The sequence below is a fragment of the Homo sapiens genome, chromosome 7 (assembly GCF_000001405.40).
Source record: "Homo sapiens chromosome 7, GRCh38.p14 Primary Assembly".
Lineage (NCBI taxonomy): Eukaryota > Metazoa > Chordata > Mammalia > Primates > Hominidae > Homo > Homo sapiens.
Genome location: NC_000007.14, coordinates 77,676,214 through 77,697,551, shown reverse-complemented (window position 1 = coordinate 77,697,551; position 21,338 = coordinate 77,676,214). Strand labels below are relative to the sequence as shown.

Below are 21,338 nucleotides of genomic sequence, written 5' to 3'. Positions count from 1 at the left end.
CAGGCCTCTGGTAGCTTCCAGCTGACGCCAGTGCTCTCTCCACACCCCTTTTTTGACAGGATTATCCGGGGTTGAACGCTGTGTCACAAATACGAATTCCCGCGACCACGTCTAAGTGGTCTAACAATCAATCAAGCATCTTTTACAAAACCAAACCCTTCCCCCATCCCGTTCCCTCCATCTCTCTCCCTAGCCAAACAAACCTAGGAGAGTCCTCAAGATGGATTTTCACAAATCCTGCAGCGCACTAACTGGGAGGAAGAAACGATACAGAAAATAAGAGTGTCGGCCATCCCCCTCTCTGCAACCGAAATTACAGGCTCCATTTCCTGTCCCCTTGGGAACTGCAAAATCCTCTGCTGAAAACCGGACGCCTCCCAGCCCCTCCAGGCCGGCGCACGCGGCCGCCGCGCTCCCCCTTCCCGGGCCCCGTGGGCGCCAGGGGGCGGCGGGGACCCACGGCGCCCTCCCCTCCCCCTCCCCGCACGGCACCCACCTCGGGGCAGCGGCTTCACCTCCCCGTTCTCCTCCCGGGAGGCCCCGCCGGCCTCTCGGGCCCCACCGAGACCGTGCCTCCTCCTCTCCTTCTCCCGCTTCTCCTTAGGTCTGCGCGACTTGGCGTTAGCCGAGGCAGCGGCGGCGGCGGCGGGCAGGAGGAGATGGTGAGGCTGAGCGTGCAGCAGCGTAGGAGGGACCAGCAGTTTGCGCGGCACCGGCTGAGACAAGGAAGCGGAGGCTGAGGAGGGAACGGCCGTGCCAGCGGAGAAAGAGAAACTGCTCCGAGAAGAGGACGGGGAGGGAGCAGCAGACAGAGGGGCAAAGCTCCAAGACGCGGGGCTGCCATAGCTCTGAGGCGAAGGTGCTGCCGGCGGCTGCAGCTGCCTGCTGTTCCCGCCGCTGCCCCCTTCTCCGTTCACTCTCCGCGGTGCCTTCTTCTCCTCAGTCCGGACCTTCTTGGCGGACAGAGAACCCGGAGGGTCCCGGGAGGAGAGTTGCAGCTTGCCAAACGGTTCTTTCTCCGAGACGGTGGCGGTGGGGGCCGCGGCAGCGACACAGTGCACGGGGCTCGGCGGTTCCGCCATTTTGCGCTCCTGTTGTATTTACTCTCCTCCGCTAGCCGGCGCGGGGCAGGGGGCGGGCCCTCCGCGAGGGGTAGGGAAGGGGCGGAGCGGCCAGGCCACCAGCCGGCATTGCTCCATTGGGCAAGCCACGCTGAGGGATCCACCTAAGAGCCAATCAAAGGCACAAACATCAGACGAAGGGGCGGGATCGCCACAGGGACCCTCTTCGGAGGTCAGAGCTCGGCGGGGTGCGGCTAGTGGCGGAGCGCGCTGCGAGGGGAGGGCTTTCCACTGTCGCTGGCGTGAACTCGCGTGCCCGGTGGGTATCAGGGAAGAACCCCCGCCCCGGACCCCCAGATCTGCCATGGCCGAGGTAGCGATCGTCTCTGCGGCCACGAAGACTGTTTTAACTTGTACCACTTTCCCTTCCATTTTTCCTGGGGTGCCTCTCACCCTGCATCTGCGCGTTCAGCAAGCTGGATTTCGGGAATGCTCAGTTCAGAAGAGAAAAAATTGCCGGGAATCAAGTCCTTCTTTTTGTTAGTCGGTAGTCGATTGATGGGAAGTGTTCAAAATCATTCGATGTGGTGACAAGGTACGTTATTATTGCTAGATCATGTGCTGTAATCCATTGAAGGAGATAACTTCCAGCAAATCTAGAACTTTAGTATTACTTACAAGCTTGAAGGTGAGAGTCTCCCTTTGGAGACTTTTGAACTGTTGTGACTAGACCCTTAAGATTTTTATTTTATTTATTTATTTATTTATTGGGACGGAGTTTTGCTCTGTTGTCGAGGCTGGAGTGCCGTGGCGCGATCTCGGCTCACCGCAACCTCCGCCTCCCAGATTCAAGCGATTCTCCTGCCTCAGCCTCCCCAGTAACAGGGACTACAGGCGTCCGGCACCATGCTTGGCTAATTTTTGTGTTTATTAGAGACGGGGTTTCACCATGTTGGCCAGGCTGGACTCGAACTCCTGATCTCAGGTGAGCGGCCCACCTCCGCTTCCCAAAGTGCTGGGATTACAGGCGTGAGCCACCATGTGCGGCCTTAAGATTTGAATTTTATAATAATTATTATAGCCGGGCGCGGTGGCTCACACCTGTAATCCCAGCACTTTGGGAGACCGGGGCGGGCGGATCACGAGGTCAGAAGTTCGAGACCAGCCTGACCAACATGGTGAAACCCCGTCTCTACTAAAAATGCAAAAATTAGCTGGGCATGGAAGCGCGCACCTGTAATCCCAGCTACTGGGGAGGCTGGGGCAGGAGAATCGCTTGAACCCAGGAGGCGGAGGTTGCAGTGAGCCGAGACTGCGCCACTGCACTCCAGCTTGGGCGACAGGGCAAGACTCCGTCTCAAAAAATAATAATAATAATAATAATATTATTATTATTATAACGTAGACTTGCCAGGAAAAATTCGTTGGCGATTATTTATGGATGTTTGAAAAGCAAGAATTGTTTTTTTAGGTTTCTGTATTTTAGCGTTTAGTAAGCACACTGCGTGTTCGATGTTTTGTAAGCATGTGCTTTGATTTTTGCTTCGAAAATAAGCAATTTGGGGAGATGGGTTTTAGCTTAAAAGATAAGGAATGTGGCCGGGCGCGGTGGCTCATACCTGTAATCCCAGCACTTTGGGAGGCCAAGGCGGGCAGATCACAATGTCAGGAGTTCGAGACCAGCCTGGCCAACATAGTGAAACCCTGCCTCTACTAAAAATACATAATTAGCTGGGCGTAGTGGCATGCGCCTGTAGTCCCAGCTACTCTGGAGGCTGAGGCAGAAGAATCCCTTGAATCTGTAAGGCAGAGGTTGCAGTAAGCTGAGTTCGTGCCATTGCACTCCACCCGGGGCGACAGTGCCTATTTACTCATTTTTTTAAGAATATTTTTAAGAATTTTTTTTTTTTCGGCCAAGAGTGGTGGGTGGCTCACGCATGTAATCCCAAGACTTTAGGAGGCGGTGATGGGTGGATCACCTGAGGTCAGGAGTTTGAAACCAGCCTGACTGACATGGTGCAACCCCGTCTCTACTAAAAATACAAAAAAAATTAGCCAGGCGTGGTGGTGCGTGCTTGTAGTCCCAGCTCCTCGGGAGGCTAAGACAAAAGACTCGCTTGACCCCTGGAGGTGGAGGTTGCAGTGAGCTGAGATCGTGCCACTGCACTCCAGCCTGGGTGACAGAGTAAGACTCCATCTCAAAAAAAAAAAAAAGAATGTTTTGGAGTCAAATTTAATATTGGTTTATGGACTTATTTTTATGTGCCTCAAATTTTTTAAAGTAATAACAGTATTTAATATGTAACATGAAAACTTTCTAATTGGAATTGACTGGCAGCAGATGTCTTCAAGAAAATTAGCATTGGTGGGAGAGTGGACTGAGTGGATTAGGCTGGAAATCATCTGCTAACGCACTAGTTTCGTGACCTTAGTCAGGCTGCTTCACTTGTTAGGACCTCCGTTTTCTTACCTGTTGAGTTAGCATATTTGATTACGTGATCACTAAGGTCCCTTCCACACTCAACTTATGCCATATTCAAGAAGCTTTTCAAAATCACACCGAAACCATTACAATTGAATTCATTTTTTAATTGTTGGCCCTCCTGATCTAGAAAAGTGTCTCTAACATACATTAATGTAGTGCCTGGAAACTTGCACCACTCATTCTCTAATCTCTAGCACACAGGTCTGGAAAATCGGACTTCTTAAGAGCCCAGTTAAACTACACCCTTGCCTGCATGAATTTGTTACTCCTTGCATTACATTATACTTTCATGCACTGTTATTAGGCCTGGCACTTAATTTGTAGAGCCTAAGCAAGAGTGTGGCTATAGAGGTCCACACACCATCTGTCTAAATATTTAAAAAATAAATCAAGATAACAAACTATTATATAAAATACATTCTATTCTACTACCTTGACAGATCCACTTTCATATGATCTGGAAGTCCATGTTTGAATTTAGAGTTCTTAGAGTCCCCACACTGACCCCATTCTCCTCCCATCCCCAAGTTCACCTGCCACACGGAAAGGCCATACATGCACCCAACATGTCCAGGTGTATGTCCACATCCCCCTACTCCGCAAATGGTGATGTACAATCGGCAGCTCACTCTGCCCTCAGATCTAGCCAGTCTAAAAGAGGAGGGCAGGCTCCAGGCAGACATGGCCCCTGACCTCATGGGCTCCTTGTTCTTTACAGCAAGAGGAGGGCCAAGTAAACAGAGGCCCCTTACCCAGATCTAAAGACAGGACTTGTCTGTTATTAAAACATGCGCAACTATCTCTTTTCTGTGCTGTGTAATTAGCCATTCCCTTTCAACTAGATTATTCTTGTCAACACTTAACTGGCAGAGGTTTTCTACCACTATCACCAATTTCTTTTAGCATAATCTCTTTATAATCTCATATAGGTTTTCCATTCTACAGCTAGAAAGCTCTTTTCAAAACCTTGGCCGGGTACAGTGGCTCATGCCTGTAATCCCAGCACTTTGGGAGGCCGAGGCAGGCAGATCACCTGAGGTCAGGAGTTTGAGACCAGCCTAGCCAACATGGTGAAACTTTGTCTCTACTAAAAATACAAAAATTAGCTGGGCATGGTGGCACGTCCTTGTAGTCCAGCTACTCGGGAGGCTGTGGTAGAGAATCGCTTGAATCTGGGAGACGGAGGTTGCAGCGAGCCAAGATCACGCCACTGCACTCCAGCCTGGGCGACAGAATGAGACTCTGTCTCAAAAAAAAAAAAAAAACGAAAACGAAAAAACCTGGATCTGACCATCTCTCTTGCCTTGCTTCAGACCTGAAGTCAATGGCTTTCATTGCTCTCGGGACAAAAAACAAAATCCTTAATGTGTCCTGTAAGACCTTTCATGAACTATCCCCTTCTTCTATTTCAAACTAACAGGTCTTTAATCTCCAGAACCCACCATGTTGTCTTTCAACATAGAAACATTGCATATGTGATTCTCTCTACTTGACGTGCTTTTTCCTTTGGCTGTTGCCTATGTGATGATTTGGATAATGAACATAAGGGAGGCAGATATCATGAATACCTTCTATATTTCTAACCAGCAAAACTTGGCAGTGGTACCATTCCCTGAGCCAAGAAACAGTGGAAGAGTGACAAGTTTCAGGTACTCTTGGACCTTGGACCTGTTGAACGCGACGTGCCTTTTCTCATCTCCATTCCTTTTTGCTTTTCAGTCGTTGGTGTTGTTGACTCACTGGTTATCTCTTGCTTCCTTTTCCATTTCATTCTCTGTAACAGCTCTACCGAAAGCATACTACCCTACCTACCCTACACCCTGCTTCTCCACCTTTTTTTTTTCTTTTTTCTTTTTTTTTTTTTTTTTTTTGAGGTCAGGTCTCAGCTCTATCACCCAGGCTACAGTGCAGTGGCAGCTTCACAGCTCGCTGCAGCCTTGACCTCCTGGGCTCAAGCATTCCCCCCACCTCAGCCTCCCGAGTAGCTGGGACTAAGGCATTTGCCACCATACCTAGCTAATTTTTGTATTTTTGTAGAGACAGGGTTTCGCCATGTTGTTGCCCAGGCTGGTCGAGAACTCCTGGGCTCAAACACTCTGACCACCACGGTCTCCCAAAGTGCTGGGATTACAGACATGAGCCAGCATAGCCAGCCGAAACTGGGTCTTTTATAAAGAACAGAAATTTATTTTGTCACAATTCTAGGGGCTGGGAGCCCAAGATCACGGCACTGGCAGGTTCATTTGTTTGATATGGGCCACATCCTCCTGAGGGGAGGAACATATTGGCCTCACATGGTAGAAGGCAGCAGGCTGAAGGCTTCATGAGGCCTCTATTATCTTATTTATTTTGAGACAGAATTTTTTTTTTTTTTTTTTTTTGGAGACGGAATCTGTCTCTGACGCCCAGGCTGGAGTGCAGTGGTGCGATCTCAGCTCACTGCAAGCTCCGCCTCCCGGGTTCACGCCATTCTCCTGCCTCAGCCTCCCGAGTAGCTGGGACTACAGGCGCCCGCCACTACGCCCGGCTAATTTTTGTATTTTTAGTAGAGACAGGGTTTCACCGTGTTAGCCAGGATGGTCTCGATCTCCTGACCTCGTGATCCGCCCACCTCGGCCTCCCAAAGTGCTGGGATTACAGGCGTGAGCCACCACGCCCGGCCTGACAGAATCTTGTTTTGTCGCCCAGGCTGGAGTGCAGTGGCGCAACTGCAGCCTCGACCTCCTGGACTAAAGTGATCCTACCACCTCAGCCTCCCAGGTAGCTAGGACTTCAGACACTCGCCATAACTCCCAGCTAATTTTTGCTTATGTTTTGTAGAGATGGGGCCTCACTGTGTTACCCAGGCTGGTCACAAACTCCTGGGCTCAAGCGATCCACTTGCCCATGAAGCCTCTTGTAATCCCATAAACCTCATTCACAAGAGAGCAACCCCTCTGGCCTAAACACGTCTTAAAGGCCCCACATCTTAATACCATTACATTGGCCATTAAGTTTCAACACCTGAATTTTGGAGGGGACACATTGAAACCATAGCAATGGGTAAAAAATAATAAGTCAGAGTCAGGTTGAATGTGAGATCACAGGAAGTGGAGGGTACTATAGAAAACTGGGAATATGATGTGTTTTCTACAATATACATTTGTGTTTCTCAGCTCTCGCTGCTCGTTCCCTTATGGAAATAGTGGTCCTACTTGCTAAATATATAGATTTTTTAATGGGAAGTTTCCTAAAACACCATGCAAGCCAAACAAACATCTGTGAGTCAGTTATAACCCACAGACTAGCAGGCTGACTTCTGATCTAGAAAGGAGTAGCTTCGTTTTGTTAAGATCGTTTTGAGAGTTTTGTTTATTTTAATTCACAACCCTGTCTTTGTCCGTTGCTGGAATAGATGCTAATCGAATATATTCAAACTTCCAGCCATAACAAATGTGTGTTCGCAGTGCTTAGAGCTGTCCTCTGTACAACCTAGAATCTGGTTTCTCTGCACGTGACATCCTTCTGCCTTTCTGAGCTGAACTGTATTTTCACTCTGCACATGTACTATCCCTCTGGCCTTGTCCAGGTTCCTGATCCCCTTGTATAAAGAAAGCAGTTATTTGACCCTTGTACTTTATGCAGCCATGTACTAACCTTAAAGACATTTCTGGCCAGGTGCAGTGGCTCACGCCTGTAATCCCAGCACTTTGGAAGGCCGAGGCAGGTAGATCATAAGGTCAGGAGTTTGAGACCAGCCTGGCCAACAAGGTGAAACCTCATCTCTCCTAAAAATATGAAAAAATTAGCCAGGCGTGGTGGCACATGCCTGTAGTCCCAACTACTCCAGAGGCTGAGGCAGGAGAATCGCTTGAACTTGGGAGGCGGAGGTTACAGCCAGGCAAGACTGTGCCATTGCACTCTAGCCTGGGTGACAGGGTGAGATTCCGTCTCAAAACAAACAAACAAAAAAGGACATTTCTTCTGTCCTTATGGCATAGATATCTCAAAGCTCTACCTCCACCACGTTGACCTGCTCATCTTTTTTTTTTTTTGAGACAGAATTTCACTCTTGTTGCCCAGGCTGGAGTGCGATGGCACGATCTCGGCTCACTGCAACCTCTGCCTCCCGGGTTCAACTGATTCTCCTGCGTCAGCCTCCCGAGTAGCTGGGATTACAGGCATGCGCCACCACACTCGGCTAATTTTTTGTATTTTTAGTAGAGACGGGGCTTCTCCATGTTGGTCAGTCAGGCTGGTCTCGAACTCCCGACCTCAGGTGATCTGCCCGCCTTGGCCTCCCAAAGTACTGGGATTACAGGCATGAGCCACCACGCCCAGCCGACCTGCTCATCTTTATGTGTCTTTCTCATTTGAATCAATCAATCACTGGCCAGTTATAAAGGCTGGTACTCTGCTTTCAGAAAACCTGAAACCTTTAAACTTTCATGCTGTCAGTTCCAGTGTAGTCCATACTCTAGTACAGGGGCCAGCAAACTTTTTCTGTAAACAGACGTATAGTAAATATTTTAGGCTTTGCAGACCTAAAATATTTGTAAATATTTTAGGCTTTGTGGTCTCTGTGGCAGCTGCTGCTCATAGCACAAAAGCAGCCATAGACAAGATATAAAGGAATGGGCATGGCTGTGTTCCAAAACAACTTTATGGAAACAGGAGACAGGATGGGTTTGGCCTGTAGGTCATAGTTTGCTGGCTCCTATGAATTTTGTGTTTTTTGTTTTTTGTTTTGTTTTGTTTTGTTTTTTGAGATGGAGTCTCACTCTGTCGCCCAGGCTGGAGTGCAGTGGTGCAGTCTCAGCTCACTGCAACCTCCGCCTCCCGGGTTCAAGCAATTCTCCTGCCTCAGCCTCCCAAGTAGCTGGGATTACAGGCACCCGCCACCATGCCCGGCTAATTTTTGTATTCAATAAATTGTTTTTCAGGCTAGGTGCAGTGGCTCACTCCTGTAATCCCAGCACTTTGGGAGGCTGAGGTGGGCAGACTGCCTGAGGTCAGGAGTTCGAGACCAGCCTGGCTAACATAGTGAAACCCCATCTCTACTAAAAATACAAAAAATTAGCCAGGTGTGGTGGTGTGCACCTGTAAACCCTGCTACTTGGGAGGCTGAGGCGGGGGAATCACATGAACCTGGGAGGTGGAGATTGCATTGAGCCATTGCACTCCAGCCTGGGCGACAGTGTGAGACTCCACCTCAAAAATAAATAAATAAATAATTTTTTTTTTTGTTAATGGCTCCCCAATTTATATCTCTAAACCTGACTGCTCCTCTGTGTTTGTGATCTAACTACTCCACATCTTCCACAGATATGTCAGCACTTAAAACTCAGCATATCTATGACAGAGACTGCTCATTTCCTGCCAAGTATCTGTTTCTCCCTTCTTCCTTATTACCTGATCCCTTAATTCATTGAGATTGCAAAGTATCTAGCTAAGAAAAAAAAAAGTTGCTTGCCCTTCTTTCTCTTAGGGATAGCAGTGACATGTCAGGGAAAGTCTTTGGGTGAGGTTTTCAGGGAAGTTCCTGGGTGAAGAGGAGAGGAAACCCCTTTCTCTCTTTCCTGAAATTTGGAGAAGGCGATGTGGGGCAGTAATTATGAAGATTGTAAGCTTTCAGCTCATATTTTGCTTATTCAACATTTCAGGTAATTCAGGTAAATTGAATTCTCAACTCTTTATTTTTCTGAGACCAAGTCTCACTCTGTTGCCCAGGCTAGAATGCAGTGGCGTGATTTCAGCTCACTGCAGCCTCTGCCTTCTGGGTTCAAGCAATTCTCCCACCTCAGCCTCCCAAGTAGCTGGGATTACAGGCATGCACCACCACGCCCAGCTAATTTTTGTATTTTTAGTACAGACGGGGTTTCACCATGTTGGCCAGTCTGGTCTCAAACTCCTGGCCTCAAGTGAGGCCTCCACCCACTTCAGCCTCCCAGAGTACTGGAATTACAGGCGTCAGCCACCATGCCCAGCCAAATTCTCACCTCTTAACCAGAAAATTGTCTCACTACAAATATAGCCTAACCACTTGCTCAACCACAGTCTTCTTTCCAGTTTGAATGTGTACTTAAGGAGAGCAAACTGGGGGAAAATAAAGTTGAAAATTGTAGTACAGGCATCAGCCACTGCTTAAAGGCTTCACTGAAGAGCCATTAGCAGCCACACAGCAGGAAGCAAAAGGTAGAGAGAGTAAAAGGGGCCAAATAGAGTAAATAGAAACTATCCATAAATGTCTCTCCTGGGGTTAATTATGCTGCCAGAATTTTCATATGGAAGAACATCAGCTCATTTTGATACTTATTTTAAGAAAGGGATAGGAGGCCTATAAAATGTGTATCAGGAGCCTTATTCAATAATATAAATCTCTGAAAAGAAAAGCTTAAGTTTTGTGGTTGTTTAAAAAAAAAAAAAAGGTTTGTGGTTCCAGTCAATTCTCCAGGAAGAGGAAGCTATTTTAGGTAAGAACTGGTAGGTAGAGAGTAAAGTGTATTTATCCACACCTTGAAGCCTAGGTCTGGCAAAGAAATGTAAGGAAAAATGATAGACTCATAGAATGTCTGAATTGCAAATGCAGCCCTGTACGTAATTTGTTAATTTTCTTTACTATCCTTTACTTTCTTTTTGAACAGTGAATAACCTCCAGAATAACCATTCTTGGCTTCATAGTTTGAGCCACACTGTCAGACCACTTGTGGTTAAGAGGATAGTGTTTACTGAGTGCCTTGTGTATCTCTTATGTTTGTGGGTGTTATGCATCATCCCAGTTCTACAAAGCTTTCCAAGGCATTTTTCAAAACTGAGCTGGAATTTCATGTTTATTCTGACTCTACACCAGTTTTCTTTCTAATATATCCTATTTTGCAAGAGGAAGCAGAAGTCTAAAGCATCAAAATGTTAAATCCAGACATTGGTCAGGGCTCTTTAGAAGTTTAAGTTAATTTAAGTTTTATGTTTAGAAAATAGGCATTCAAAAAAGATGCAGTGTTTCTTAGAGTGCTGGTAGATTCCAGTGCTTTTATCTCATAGAAAAGAACAGGTTTGAATGTGTCCCCGAAAGTTGTGTGTCCCCCAGAGTTCATGGGTTAGAAACTTAATCTCTAATGCAACAGTGTTCAGAGGTGGGACCTTTAAGAGGTGATTAGGTTATGAGGGCTCCGCCCTCATGAAAGGATTAATGCCATTATCCAGGAGTAGATTAGTTTTTACAGGATCGGGTTCCTGATAACTGATAACCCACAGTTAGAAGAGTGCAGTTTTGTACAAATACTGCACATGCCAGTAGAGCCAACAAAGTACAAAACTATGACTGTCACAAAGTTATTTCATAATTTTAATTTTGCAGATTCTGCTTTGAAAAGCTTGTCTGTATGATTTATGTGCCTTGAGGTAACAATATGATGCTATCCTAATACATATTTTGCCTCAGATTCAAGTGCTGGCTCTTCTTGATTCCCCTCAAATTAATAACTACTTCTATACCATTAGTTTGAAAATAGATGAATAATTAAAACAGCTAAAGACCCATCAAGGAAATAACCTCTCTCTCTTTTTTTTTTTTTTTTTTTTTTTTTTTTTTTGAGACGGAGTCTCGCTCTGTCGCCCAGGCTGGAGTGCAGTGGCGGGATCTCGGCTCACTGCAAGCTCCGCCTCCCGGGTTCACGCCATTCTCCTGCCTCAGCCTCCCCAGTAGCTGGGACTACAGGCACCCGCTGCCGCGCTCGGCTAATTTTTTTCGTATTTTTAGCAGAGACGGGGTTTCACCGTGTTAGCCAGGATGGTCTCGATCTCCTGACCTCGTGATCCACCCGCCTCGGCCTCCCAAAGTGCTGGGATTACAGGAATGAGCCACCGCGCCGGGCCTAACCACTCTTTTATTTAACTTTTAAAGCTAACCCAATAAGTCTACTTTTTCTTATTTTTCACGTATATTAAGTGTTTAGTCAGTAAATACTTAACACCTACCTGTTGCCAGGCACTAGGCTAAGTGCTAGAATATAGCAAGAGATATGGCAGACATGGTCTCTGTCCTCATGGAGTTAACTTTAATCACAAGATCTGTTTCCAAATAATCTGTTGTTTAAGACTATGTTGTTGGGGTGAGGTGGGAGGGAGAGCATTGGGAGATATACCTAATGCTAAATGACAAGTTAATGGGTGCAGCACACCAAGATGGCACATGTATACATATGTAACAAACCTGCACATTTTGCACATGTACCCTAAAACTTAAAGTATAATAAAAAAAAAGACTGTGTTGCTCTGTTGTTCAAGACTGTGATCCTATTTATTACTGATGACAGTCAAACAGTATTAAGTGTCTACAATGGGCCCAGCACTGTGTGACAATGTAATTAATAATATAATGAGATTAGTAAGCAAAGAACATGGGGAAAGACTTTCTAGGCTGAGGAACAAGCATTTGGAAAGAGATGAGAGTAATGACACACTCAATGTGGTATTGTTTATGAGAAGTTCATTGTGGTTCAAGGATAAGGGACACGAAGTGCCGTAAAAGGAGAGGGCTCTCTAAAATGGGTGAGAGCCAGATTGTGTAAAGTGTTGCTCTTGACTGCCTTGGCATGCTGAGGAGTCAGTAAATACCTTTTGTTAACTTAAGGGCTTTAATGAGGAAGAGTGAAAAATGTTTACGTAACCATTTTGACTTCCTGCTCATTCCTCACAGGCTTCACCAGGTACTGCCTTCTAACGAGCTGGCCATTTCCACATGTCAGATAGGACCAACTTGCCTTTTAACTACCCGTGTGATACTTAAACACTGTTGCCGGTATCACAGCTTTTCTTCAAAACAGGTAATATTAGGGACACTTGAAATTTGGGAATTAGATTTACCTTTGCTGTTACTAAATAATTGTTAGAATTTTAAATGTCATATTCATTTTACTCAACTAATCTCTTTAGCTTTCCTATTTATATTCCTACTTATGATTACGTGTAATTCTCATTGGAAGGATTAAAATATTTTGAAAGTAAGACAGTAAAATTGTGAAATACTTTGGTATTGGTTACAAAACAGTACTTAGGTACCTTCTTCCTGATTTTTCTGTATTTTTAAAAAATAAGGCCAGGCACAGTGGCAAATGCTTATATTCCCAACTGCCCAGTAAGCTGAAGCAAGAGAATTGCTTGAGCCCAACCTGGGCAACATAGTGAAACCCCAGTCACCAATTAAAAACAAACAAACAAAAAGAGTATATTTTTTGAAGATATTTTATCACATATACAGAAGCAAACAAAGAGGGGAAGGAATTGTTTAAAATAATGTTAAGCTAAATAAAGTCAAAGAAAATTTAAGTAATAGTTAATAGTTATTGTTATAGAAGACATCAATTTACTACCCCGTTCTCAAAAAGGAAAATCTGCAAGTAGACTGTAGTGCTAGAGTAAGCTTTTCCTTAATTTCAGAAAGCCTGTATTAAGCATTTACTTTATGCCAAACTCCATTTTAGGGACTGGAAATATAAAATAAATAAAACACAGTCCCTGCTCTCAGTGAACTTGTTGTCTAGGGAATGTTAAGTAGAACCACCTGAAATTGCATTGTTTTTGTAAGCCAGCTATCGGTTCCACCTGACATTATATGTGGAAACAGAAATTTGCAATAATAAAGATATGACCACGGTGCTACGGGGCACTGACAAAATGCTTCATGCTGCCCAGGGCAGTCAGTGAAGGCTCCCCAGGGGAGATGACGTTTGAGCCGAGTTTCAGAAGATGATTGGAGTTTACCACGTGTTCACAGGAAGCAACGAGAATGAGGGCATTCCAGTAGCAGGAGACAGCATGCATAGAGATGCTGATGAAGAAAGAGCCTAGCGCACGTGGGAAACTGCAAAAGTTCAGACTGGTTGGAATGCTGGAAATGTTGTGAATGACAGGAGATGAGGCTGGCGAGAAAACAGAGGTCAGATTGTGGAAGGCTGTCAAGCCAAAGACTTTGATTTTATTCTTGAGATTGATGAGATGTGTGTAATCCAGGAGTGTGCAAAACAATCTGTAAGGGTTCAGAAAACATACTGCTTCTATATATAGTTACCTTTGTCTTAACTTGAAAATTTCAAATTGTGTAGGAGTTACAATGTGTGTAATTGTTATTATAGTACTGGATCCAAATAATTTATAAATAAATAAATATAGACATAATATGGTGTATTACAGGTTAAATTGTGTACCTCAAAAATTCATGTTTAAGTTCTAACCCTCATTATCTCAAACTGTGACCTTATTTGGAAATACTATCATTGCAGATGCAATAGTTAATGAGGTCAAGTTAAGAAGCAATAGGAGGCCAGGCATGGTGGCTCACACCTGTAATCGCAGCACTCTGGGGAGGCCAAGGTGGGTGGATCACCTGAAGTCAGGAGATCAAGAGCAACCTGGGCAACATGGTGAAACTCCGTCTCTACTAAAAATACACAAATTAGGCTGGGCTTGATGTCTCACACCTGTAATCCCAGCACTTTGGGAGGCCAAGGCGGGCGGATCACCTGAGGTCAGGAGTTCGAGACCAGCCTGGCCAACATAGTGAAACCCCATCTCTACTAAAAATACAAAAATTATTTTGTATTTTGGTGGCGGACACCTGTAAGTAATCCCAGCTACTCGGGAGGGTGAGGCAGGAGAATCGCTTAAACCTGGGAGGTGGAGTTTGCAGTGAACCAAGATCACACCACTGCACTCCAGCTTAGGAGACAGGGCTAGACTCTGTCTCAAACAAACAAGCAAACAAACAAAAGAAAGAAGAAAAGAAGGAGCGAAAAGGTGGGCCCCCAATCCCTAATCCAGTATGACTAATGTCCTTCCAAGAACAGAAAATTTGAACAGAGACACACAAACGGGAAGAATACCTATGCCTTTTGAAGGTAAAGGCGGACATTGGGGTAATGCTTTTACAAGCCAAGGAACTCCGAAGGTAGCCAGCAAACTGTCAGAAGCTAGGCGAGGGTCCTGGGACAGATTCTCCTCACAGCCCTCAGAAGGAATCAGTCCCGCTGACACCTTGATCTTGGACTTGTAGCCTCAGGAACTGTGAGGCAAATGTCTGTTGTTTAAACTATCCAGTTTGTGATACTTTGTTACAGCAGCCCTAGCAAATTGAGCTACTTGGTCAAAAACTTCAGGCAACACTGATGAGATGATGTAAAGGCTTTAAAGAGTTGGTTTATGTTTAAGAGTCCAAATTATCAACGTCCTATCTTTACTCAGTCTCTGTATTCAAGAATTGACCTTAGGCCAGGTGCAGTAGTTCACGCCTGTAATCCCAATACTTTGGGATGCCAAGGTAGGAGGATTGCTTGAGGTCAGGAGTTTGAGATCAGCCCTTGTATATTAGTTCGTTCTCATGCTGCTGATAAAGACATACCCAAGACTGGGTAATTTATAAGGAAAAAGAGGTTTAATGGACTCACGGTTCCATGTGGCTGGAGAGGCCTCAATCATGGCGGAAGGTGAAAGGCATGTCTTAGGTGGCGGCAGACAAAAGAGAAATGAGAGCCAAGTGAGAAGGGAAACCCCTTATAAAATCATCAGATCTCGTGAGACTTATTCACTACCATGAGAACAGTATGGGGAAAGCGTCCCCATGATTCAGTTCCCACCGGGTCCCTCCCACCACATGTGGGAGTTCTGGGAGCTACAATTGAAGATGAGATTTGAGTGGGGACAAAGCCAAACCATATCACCTTTTCTCTACTAAAAATTAAAATTAATTAAAAAATTAAGCTGGCATGGTACTATATGTCTGTAGTCCTAGCTACTTGGGATGCCGAGGTGGGAGGATTGCTTGAGCCCACGAGGTTGAGGCTGCAGTGAGTCATGATCATGCCACTGCACTCCAGCCTGGACAACAGAGCAAGGCCCTGATGCAAAAAACAAAAAATAATAATTTAACTTAAAGTGATGTCTTGATTGCAGTGTTTATTCTACTTTTTAAAGCCATTGTGGTGGGAAAACAATTTGTTTACATTTGTAGTACAGTTTATGTTAAAGGTTGAAGAAATTGGGAAATATTTTATCTTTAACTCAAGACAGGATGGTGATATGCAACAGTTATAGGCAAAAAATATTTACATTTAAGAAAAAAAGTATCATTTAATCCCATTAGGCAGAAGTGGAGTCAAAAGCAAAAATATGGCTGGTTATGGATGTATGTTTCCCTTCCTGTTCATATGTTGAAACCTAATTCCCAATGTGATGGGTTTTGGAGATGGGGTCTTTGGGAGGTAATAGGTCATGAGAGTGGAACCCTCGTGGATGGGATTAGTGCCATATAAGAAGAGTCCATAGAGCTAGCTCACTCCCTTTCTGCCATGTGAGGATACAAGAAGTCGGCCTGGAAAAGAGCCCTCACCAGAACCCTACAATGGCACTCTGATCTTGGACATTCGGCCTCCGGAGCTGTGAGAAATAAATTGTCTTTAAGCTATCCAGTTTATGGTACTTTATTACACCAGCCCAAACTGACTGAAGATGGGGTCCTACCAAGCGAAATCATAGCTGTGAACAGTGTAATAGTATCTCATCAGCATGGGGAGGGCTATAGGCAAAACATGCACTAGTCTAGCTACTTAATCTTCAAGTATTAAGGACAACCTGTCCTTTTTATACAAGTCATACATTAGACATGTGCCTGAGATTACAAAACACTGTGATCGAGTTTTCAAGGCTAGGGATACACCTCAAACTCAGATGTACTTCTTTGGTGCCTATTTGTAAGTCAGCAAAATCCAGAACTCAGCAATATGTTAATTAATGTATTAATACAGAAAATATTTTTGTGCATTATATTTTCTGCATTTTAGATATTTGTGTGCCATGGAATATTTGATGATTTTTGGCTTTATTTAGGTTAAGTCAACCAAAGCATTTTGAAATGCTGCTTTTTTTTTAACACATGTATTTGTGGGTTTTTGTTTTGTTATTGTTGTTGTTTGAGACAGGGTCTTAACTCTGTCATGCAGGCTGAAGTGCAGTGTCACAATCACGGCTCACCGCAGCCTCAACCTCCCGGGCTCGGGTGATCCTCCCACGTCAGCCTCCTTAGCAGCTGGGATTACAGGTGCCCACCACCACGCCCGTCTCCTTTTTGTATTTTTAGTAGAGACGGAGTCTCACCATGTTGCCCAGGCTGGTCTCAAACTCCTGGGCTCAAGTGATCTGCCCTCCTCAACTTCCCAAAGTGCTAGGATTACAGGTGTGAGCCACCACACCTGGCCTAAATCCACATGTATTTGTAATAGTTTTGCCATTGTTTAGACAGGTAGTTTTAAGATTTTTTAAAGTAATAGAAGCCTTTCTTCAAATTAAATCTTATGTGGAAGTCCAGTATGCAGCAATTATGTTAGGTAGTCATAGAGGACTGGCCATTCGTAAAAAAAAATATACCCTTGTTTTAAATCTTTGTTTCTTGAATTTAGTCTTGAAGTTCCATGTTTTATGACTATGTATTCCATGTTTATTTTATAGTGTGTTAGCAAAATGAAAGGAATGTACATGGATGGGGATGATAAAGATGCTACTGACCTATTATTATAGGGCCTGTGCTTGGAGTTGCTTTTCAGTAATGGGATTGGATTTGTAAGAATCTGTCCATCAGGCTGGGTGCAGTGGCTGACGCCAGTAATCCCAGCACTTTGGGAGGCCGAGGCTCAAGTAGCTCAATTTGCTCAAAAAAAAAAAAAAAAAAAAAGAATCCATCTATCGTCTGGCCGGGCACGATGGCTCACGCCTGTAATCCCAGCACTTTGGGAGACTGAGGCGGGCGGATCACGAGGTCAAGAGATCGAGACCATCCTGGCCAACATGGTCAAACCCCGTGTCTACTAAAAATACAAAAATTAGATGGGCGTGGTGGTGGGCGCCTGTAATCCATCCCAGCTACTCAGGAGGCTGAGGCAGGAGAATCACTTGAACCCGGGAGGCGGACCACTGCACTCCAGCAGAGTGAGACTCCCTCCCAAAAAAAAAGAATCCATCTATCCTCTTTAATTTAGTCCCCTTTGTGGCCACACAGCAGTCTGTGTCCTACACCCTCTTGGTCAAGAATATAATGTCTACTACTCACAAAAATATATTTCTCAGTAAGTGACTCCCCTTCCTCTCATCATTGTTCTTTTAGCAATTTTTGTGCACTATTCATTTAACTATAACTTTGCCACCTTTGGACTCTAATAGACTCAAAAACCTGTTTGTCCAGTTTAGTGTATGTTTGTTTTATTCCCTCACCCATGACTTCCAGTCATATTACTGTAAGCTGATATTTGGAACTACATATATCTTTTGTATGTTTATTTTTTTAATTTTTTTTGCAAGTTTCAGGATCTATATTTTGTTGTTTGTTTGTTTGTTTGTTTGTTTTTGAGACAGAGTCTCATTCTGTCACCCAGGTTGGAGTGCAGTGACACGATCTCAGCTCACTGCAACCTCCGCCTCCTAGGTTCAAGCGATTCTCCTGCCTCAGTCTCCCGAGTAGCTGGGATTACAGGCACCCGCCACCACACCTGGCTAATTTTTGTATTTTTAGCGGAGATAGGGTTTCACATGTTGGCCACACTAGTCCCAAACTCCTGACTTCAGGTGATCTACCTGCCTTGGCCTCCCAAAGCGCTGGGATTACAGGCGTGAGCCACCGCGCCCAGCCTGTATATGTTTAAATTGTCATAAAAACTAACACCCTTTGGGAGGCCGAGGCAGGCAGATCATGAGGTCAGGAGATCGAGACCATCCTGGCTAACACAGTGAAACCCCATCTCTACTAAAAATATTTTTTTAAAAATTAGCCAGGCTTGGTGGCGGGCGCCTGTAGTCCCAACCCAGGAGGCTGAGGCAGGAGAATGGCATGAACCCAGGAGGCAGAGCTGGCAGTGAGCCAATATCACGCCACTGCACTCCAGCCTGGACGACAGAGAGAGACTCCATCTCAAAAAAAAAAAAAAAAAAAGAAAAAAGAAAACCAACACCATGTGGGGATGTTGGGAATAGCAGTTGAATGTTTCAGAATTAGGTTTTTTGTATTTGTGGTATTCTCAGATGGCCCATTTTTCCAAGATCACGTTATGTCATGTGGCTAGTTTGACAGCCCATAAGCCATAGTTCAGGGACATTTTTACCTTTTTCTAAAGGGTATATATAAAAAGATATAAAGAACAAACTATTCAGATAGTTTGGTATCAGTGAATCATTTCAATAAAAATATACTCTGAGTCTTCCTTCTTTCAGCAAATGTTTACTGAGCTCCTACTATATGCTAGCAGTCATTATGCTAAGTTTTAAGTATACAGCAGCAAACTAACTGAACATAATCCAGGCCTCACGGGATAGAGAAATTACACCAAAAAATTATATGCATAATACATTCATACATGTATAAAATCTTCATACCAATTACAAAGGAAATCAACAGGGCTCTACAGAGAGTTAAAGAAGCTACTCTAAAAAGAACAGAAAAGGAATGAGAAGTGAAAGGAATTCCAGCATTCTAGCTGGGTGCCGTGGCATGCACCTGTAGCCCCAGCTACTCAGGAGGCTGAGGCAGGAGGACCCCACGATCCCAGGAGTTCAAGTCTAGCCTAGGCAACATAGCGAGACTCTCATCTCAAAAAAAAAAGAAAAAGAAAAAAACTGTGTTATAGGCTGGGCACAGTGGTTCGCGCCTGTAATCCCAGCACTTTGGGAGGCTGAGGCGGGTGGATCACGAGGTCAGGATTTCAGGACCAGCCTGGCCAAGATGGTGAAACCCCATCTCTACTAAAAATACAGAAAAATAGGCCGGGCACAGTGGCTCACCCCTGTAATCCCAGCACTTTGGGAGGCCAAGGCGGGCGGATCACGAGGTCAAGAGATTGAAAACATCCTGGTCAACATGGCAAAACCCTGTCTCTACTAAAAATACAAAAATTAGCTGGGCATGGTGGCACACACCTGTAGTCCCAGCTACTCAGGAGGCTGAGGCAGGAGAATCACCAGGAGGTGGAGGTTGTAGTGAGCCGAGATTGTGCCACTGCACTCCAGCCCGGGCGACAGAGTGAGACTTTGTCTTAAAAAAAAAAAAAATGAGTAGGATTTGGGGGAGGAATGGCAGAGAAATGACCTGGTTATCTATTGCCAAAGCAAAAGCAAAGCAAGGAAAAATTGTTTTAAAAATACTTTAAAGAACAAGTGGAGGCCAGGTGTAGTGGCCCATGCCTATAATCCCAGAACTTTGAGAGGCGGAGTCGGGTGGATCACCTGAGTTCAGGAGTTCGAGACCAGCCTGACCAACATGACCAACATGGTGAATCCCTGTCTGTACTAAAAATACAAAAATTAGCTGAGCATGGTGGCTAACACCTGTAGTCCCAGCTGCTCGGGAGGCTGAGGCACAAGAATTGCTCGAACTCAAGAGGCAGAGGTTTCAGTGAGCCTAGATCATGCCACTGCACTTCACCCTGGGCAACAGAGTGAGACTCGGTCTAAAAAAAAAAAAAGAAAGTGGAATTTGAAAGTAAAAGCATAATACCATTTATATTAGCATGCCCCCAAAAATTAAATACTTAGGTATAAATCTAATAAATGTGTACAAGATCTGTAAGAGGAAAACTTTGAAAACCTGATGAAAGAAATCAAAGAACAATTAAACAAATATTGAGGTATTTCATGTTTTTGTTTAGGAAAACTCGATATTGTCATGATGTTCTTCCCAACTTCATCTATAGATTCAATGCAGTCCTTTTCAAAATGTCAGGAGATCATTCTGTAGATATAAACAAACCGATTCTAAAGTTTATATGGGCCAGGCGAAGTGGCTCACACCTATAGTCCCAGCACTTTGGGAGGCCAAGGCGGGCATATCACCTGTCAGGAGTTTGAGACCAGCCTGGCCAACATGACATGGTAAACCCCTGTCTCTACTAAAAATACAAAGATCAGCTGGGTATGGTTGTGGGCGCCTGTAATCCCAGCTACTCAGGAGGCTGAGGCAGGAGAATCCCTTGAGCCCAGGAGGGAGAGGTTGAAGTGAGCCGAGATCGTGCCACTGCACTCCAGCCTGGGTGATGGAGCAAGATTCTGTCTCACCAAAAAATAATAATAAAGTATATATGGAGGAGGGAAAAGACCAAGAATGAGCAACGCAATATTGAAGGAGAATAACAAAGTTAGAGGATGGCACTACCCAACTTCAAGACTTACTGGCCAGGCGTGGTGGCTCACACCTATAATCCCAGCACTTTGGGAGGCTGAGGCGGGTGGATTACCTGAGGTCAGGAGTTCGAGACCAGCCTGACCAACATGGTGAAACCCCGTCTCTACTACAAATACAAAAATTAGCCAGGCATGGTGGTGGGCGCCTGTAATCCCAGCTATTCCTCAGGAGGCTGAGGCATGAAAATTGCTTGAACCTGGGTGGTGGAGGTTGCAGTGAGCCGAGATCTCGCCATTGAACTCTAGCCTGGGCAACAGAGTGAGACTCCATCTCAAAAAAAAAAAAAAAAAGACTACTGTAAAGCTACAGTAAGTGGATGCCTGTAATCCCAGCTGCTCTGCAGGCTGAGGCAGAGAATTGCTTGAACCCGGTAGGCGGAGGTTGCAGTGAGCTGAGATCGCACCACTGCACTCCAGCCTGGACAACAGAGTGAGTCTCTGTCTCAAAAAAAAAAAATTGTCACATGTCTAAATATAAAATGCAATGCAAAAGCATGAAAACACCTAAAAGATAAGACAGAATTAAATCCAGATGACCTATGGCTTCGCGGTGACTTTTTAGGTACAACACCAAAGGCATGGTACATGAAAGAAAGAACCAA

The 21,338-nt window shown here is 44.9% G+C and overlaps 1 protein-coding gene and 1 long non-coding RNA gene across 5 annotated transcripts in view, besides 8 other annotated features; one reads left to right on the top strand and one right to left on the bottom strand.

Annotated features, from left to right (window-relative positions):
* The window catches only part of RSBN1L (round spermatid basic protein 1 like), an 86,564-nt gene extending 85,471 nt beyond the window's left edge, over positions 1-1,093 (bottom strand). The window contains exon 1 of the mRNA NM_198467.3: positions 497-1,093. Within this exon, the coding sequence (NP_940869.2) occupies positions 497-1,082 (586 nt within the window). The 5' untranslated portion in view covers positions 1,083-1,093. The remainder of the gene's footprint in view (positions 1-496) is intronic.
* Positions 207-1,102: an enhancer, noted in NCBI's record as "NANOG-H3K27ac-H3K4me1 hESC enhancer chr7:77325767-77326662 (GRCh37/hg19 assembly coordinates)". NCBI's record gives its function as "activates a minimal SCP1, AML or CMV promoter by ChIP-STARR-seq in naive and primed H9 embryonic stem cells {active_cell/tissue: H9 hESC(naive and primed)}" and the evidence as "EXISTENCE:reporter gene assay evidence [ECO:0000049][PMID:30033119]".
* The window catches only part of APTR (Alu-mediated CDKN1A/p21 transcriptional regulator), a 39,686-nt gene continuing 18,554 nt past the window's right edge, over positions 207-21,338 (top strand). The window contains exons 1-3 of one of the 4 annotated variants that reach the window (NR_038361.1): positions 207-1,656; positions 12,224-12,350; positions 13,301-13,701. This is a non-coding gene — a long non-coding RNA (Alu-mediated CDKN1A/p21 transcriptional regulator). Of the gene's footprint in view, positions 1,657-12,223; positions 12,351-13,300; positions 13,702-21,338 lie in introns of those variants that run through there. The other 3 variants (NR_134251.1, NR_134253.1, NR_134254.1) reach the window with 3 other exon arrangements.
* Positions 263-582: a silencer, noted in NCBI's record as "silent region_18328". NCBI's record gives its function as "represses an Ori minimal core promoter by ATAC-STARR-seq in GM12878 lymphoblastoid cells {active_cell/tissue: GM12878}" and the evidence as "EXISTENCE:reporter gene assay evidence [ECO:0000049][PMID:35858748]".
* Positions 793-1,022: an enhancer, noted in NCBI's record as "active region_26207". NCBI's record gives its function as "activates an Ori minimal core promoter by ATAC-STARR-seq in GM12878 lymphoblastoid cells {active_cell/tissue: GM12878}" and the evidence as "EXISTENCE:reporter gene assay evidence [ECO:0000049][PMID:35858748]".
* Positions 1,053-1,272: a silencer, noted in NCBI's record as "silent region_18327". NCBI's record gives its function as "represses an Ori minimal core promoter by ATAC-STARR-seq in GM12878 lymphoblastoid cells {active_cell/tissue: GM12878}" and the evidence as "EXISTENCE:reporter gene assay evidence [ECO:0000049][PMID:35858748]".
* Positions 1,053-1,998: a biological region, named in NCBI's record as "NANOG-H3K27ac-H3K4me1 hESC enhancer GRCh37_chr7:77324871-77325766".
* Positions 1,103-1,998: an enhancer, noted in NCBI's record as "NANOG-H3K27ac-H3K4me1 hESC enhancer chr7:77324871-77325766 (GRCh37/hg19 assembly coordinates)". NCBI's record gives its function as "activates a minimal SCP1, AML or CMV promoter by ChIP-STARR-seq in naive H9 embryonic stem cells {active_cell/tissue: H9 hESC(naive)}" and the evidence as "EXISTENCE:reporter gene assay evidence [ECO:0000049][PMID:30033119]".
* Positions 4,985-5,484: an enhancer, noted in NCBI's record as "H3K4me1 hESC enhancer chr7:77321385-77321884 (GRCh37/hg19 assembly coordinates)". NCBI's record gives its function as "activates a minimal SCP1, AML or CMV promoter by ChIP-STARR-seq in naive H9 embryonic stem cells {active_cell/tissue: H9 hESC(naive)}" and the evidence as "EXISTENCE:reporter gene assay evidence [ECO:0000049][PMID:30033119]".
* Positions 21,040-21,214: a silencer, noted in NCBI's record as "fragment chr7:77305655-77305829 (GRCh37/hg19 assembly coordinates)". NCBI's record gives its function as "represses an EF-1alpha promoter that drives an FKBP-Casp9 reporter gene in an ReSE screen in HepG2 liver carcinoma cells {active_cell/tissue: HepG2}" and the evidence as "EXISTENCE:reporter gene assay evidence [ECO:0000049][PMID:32094911]".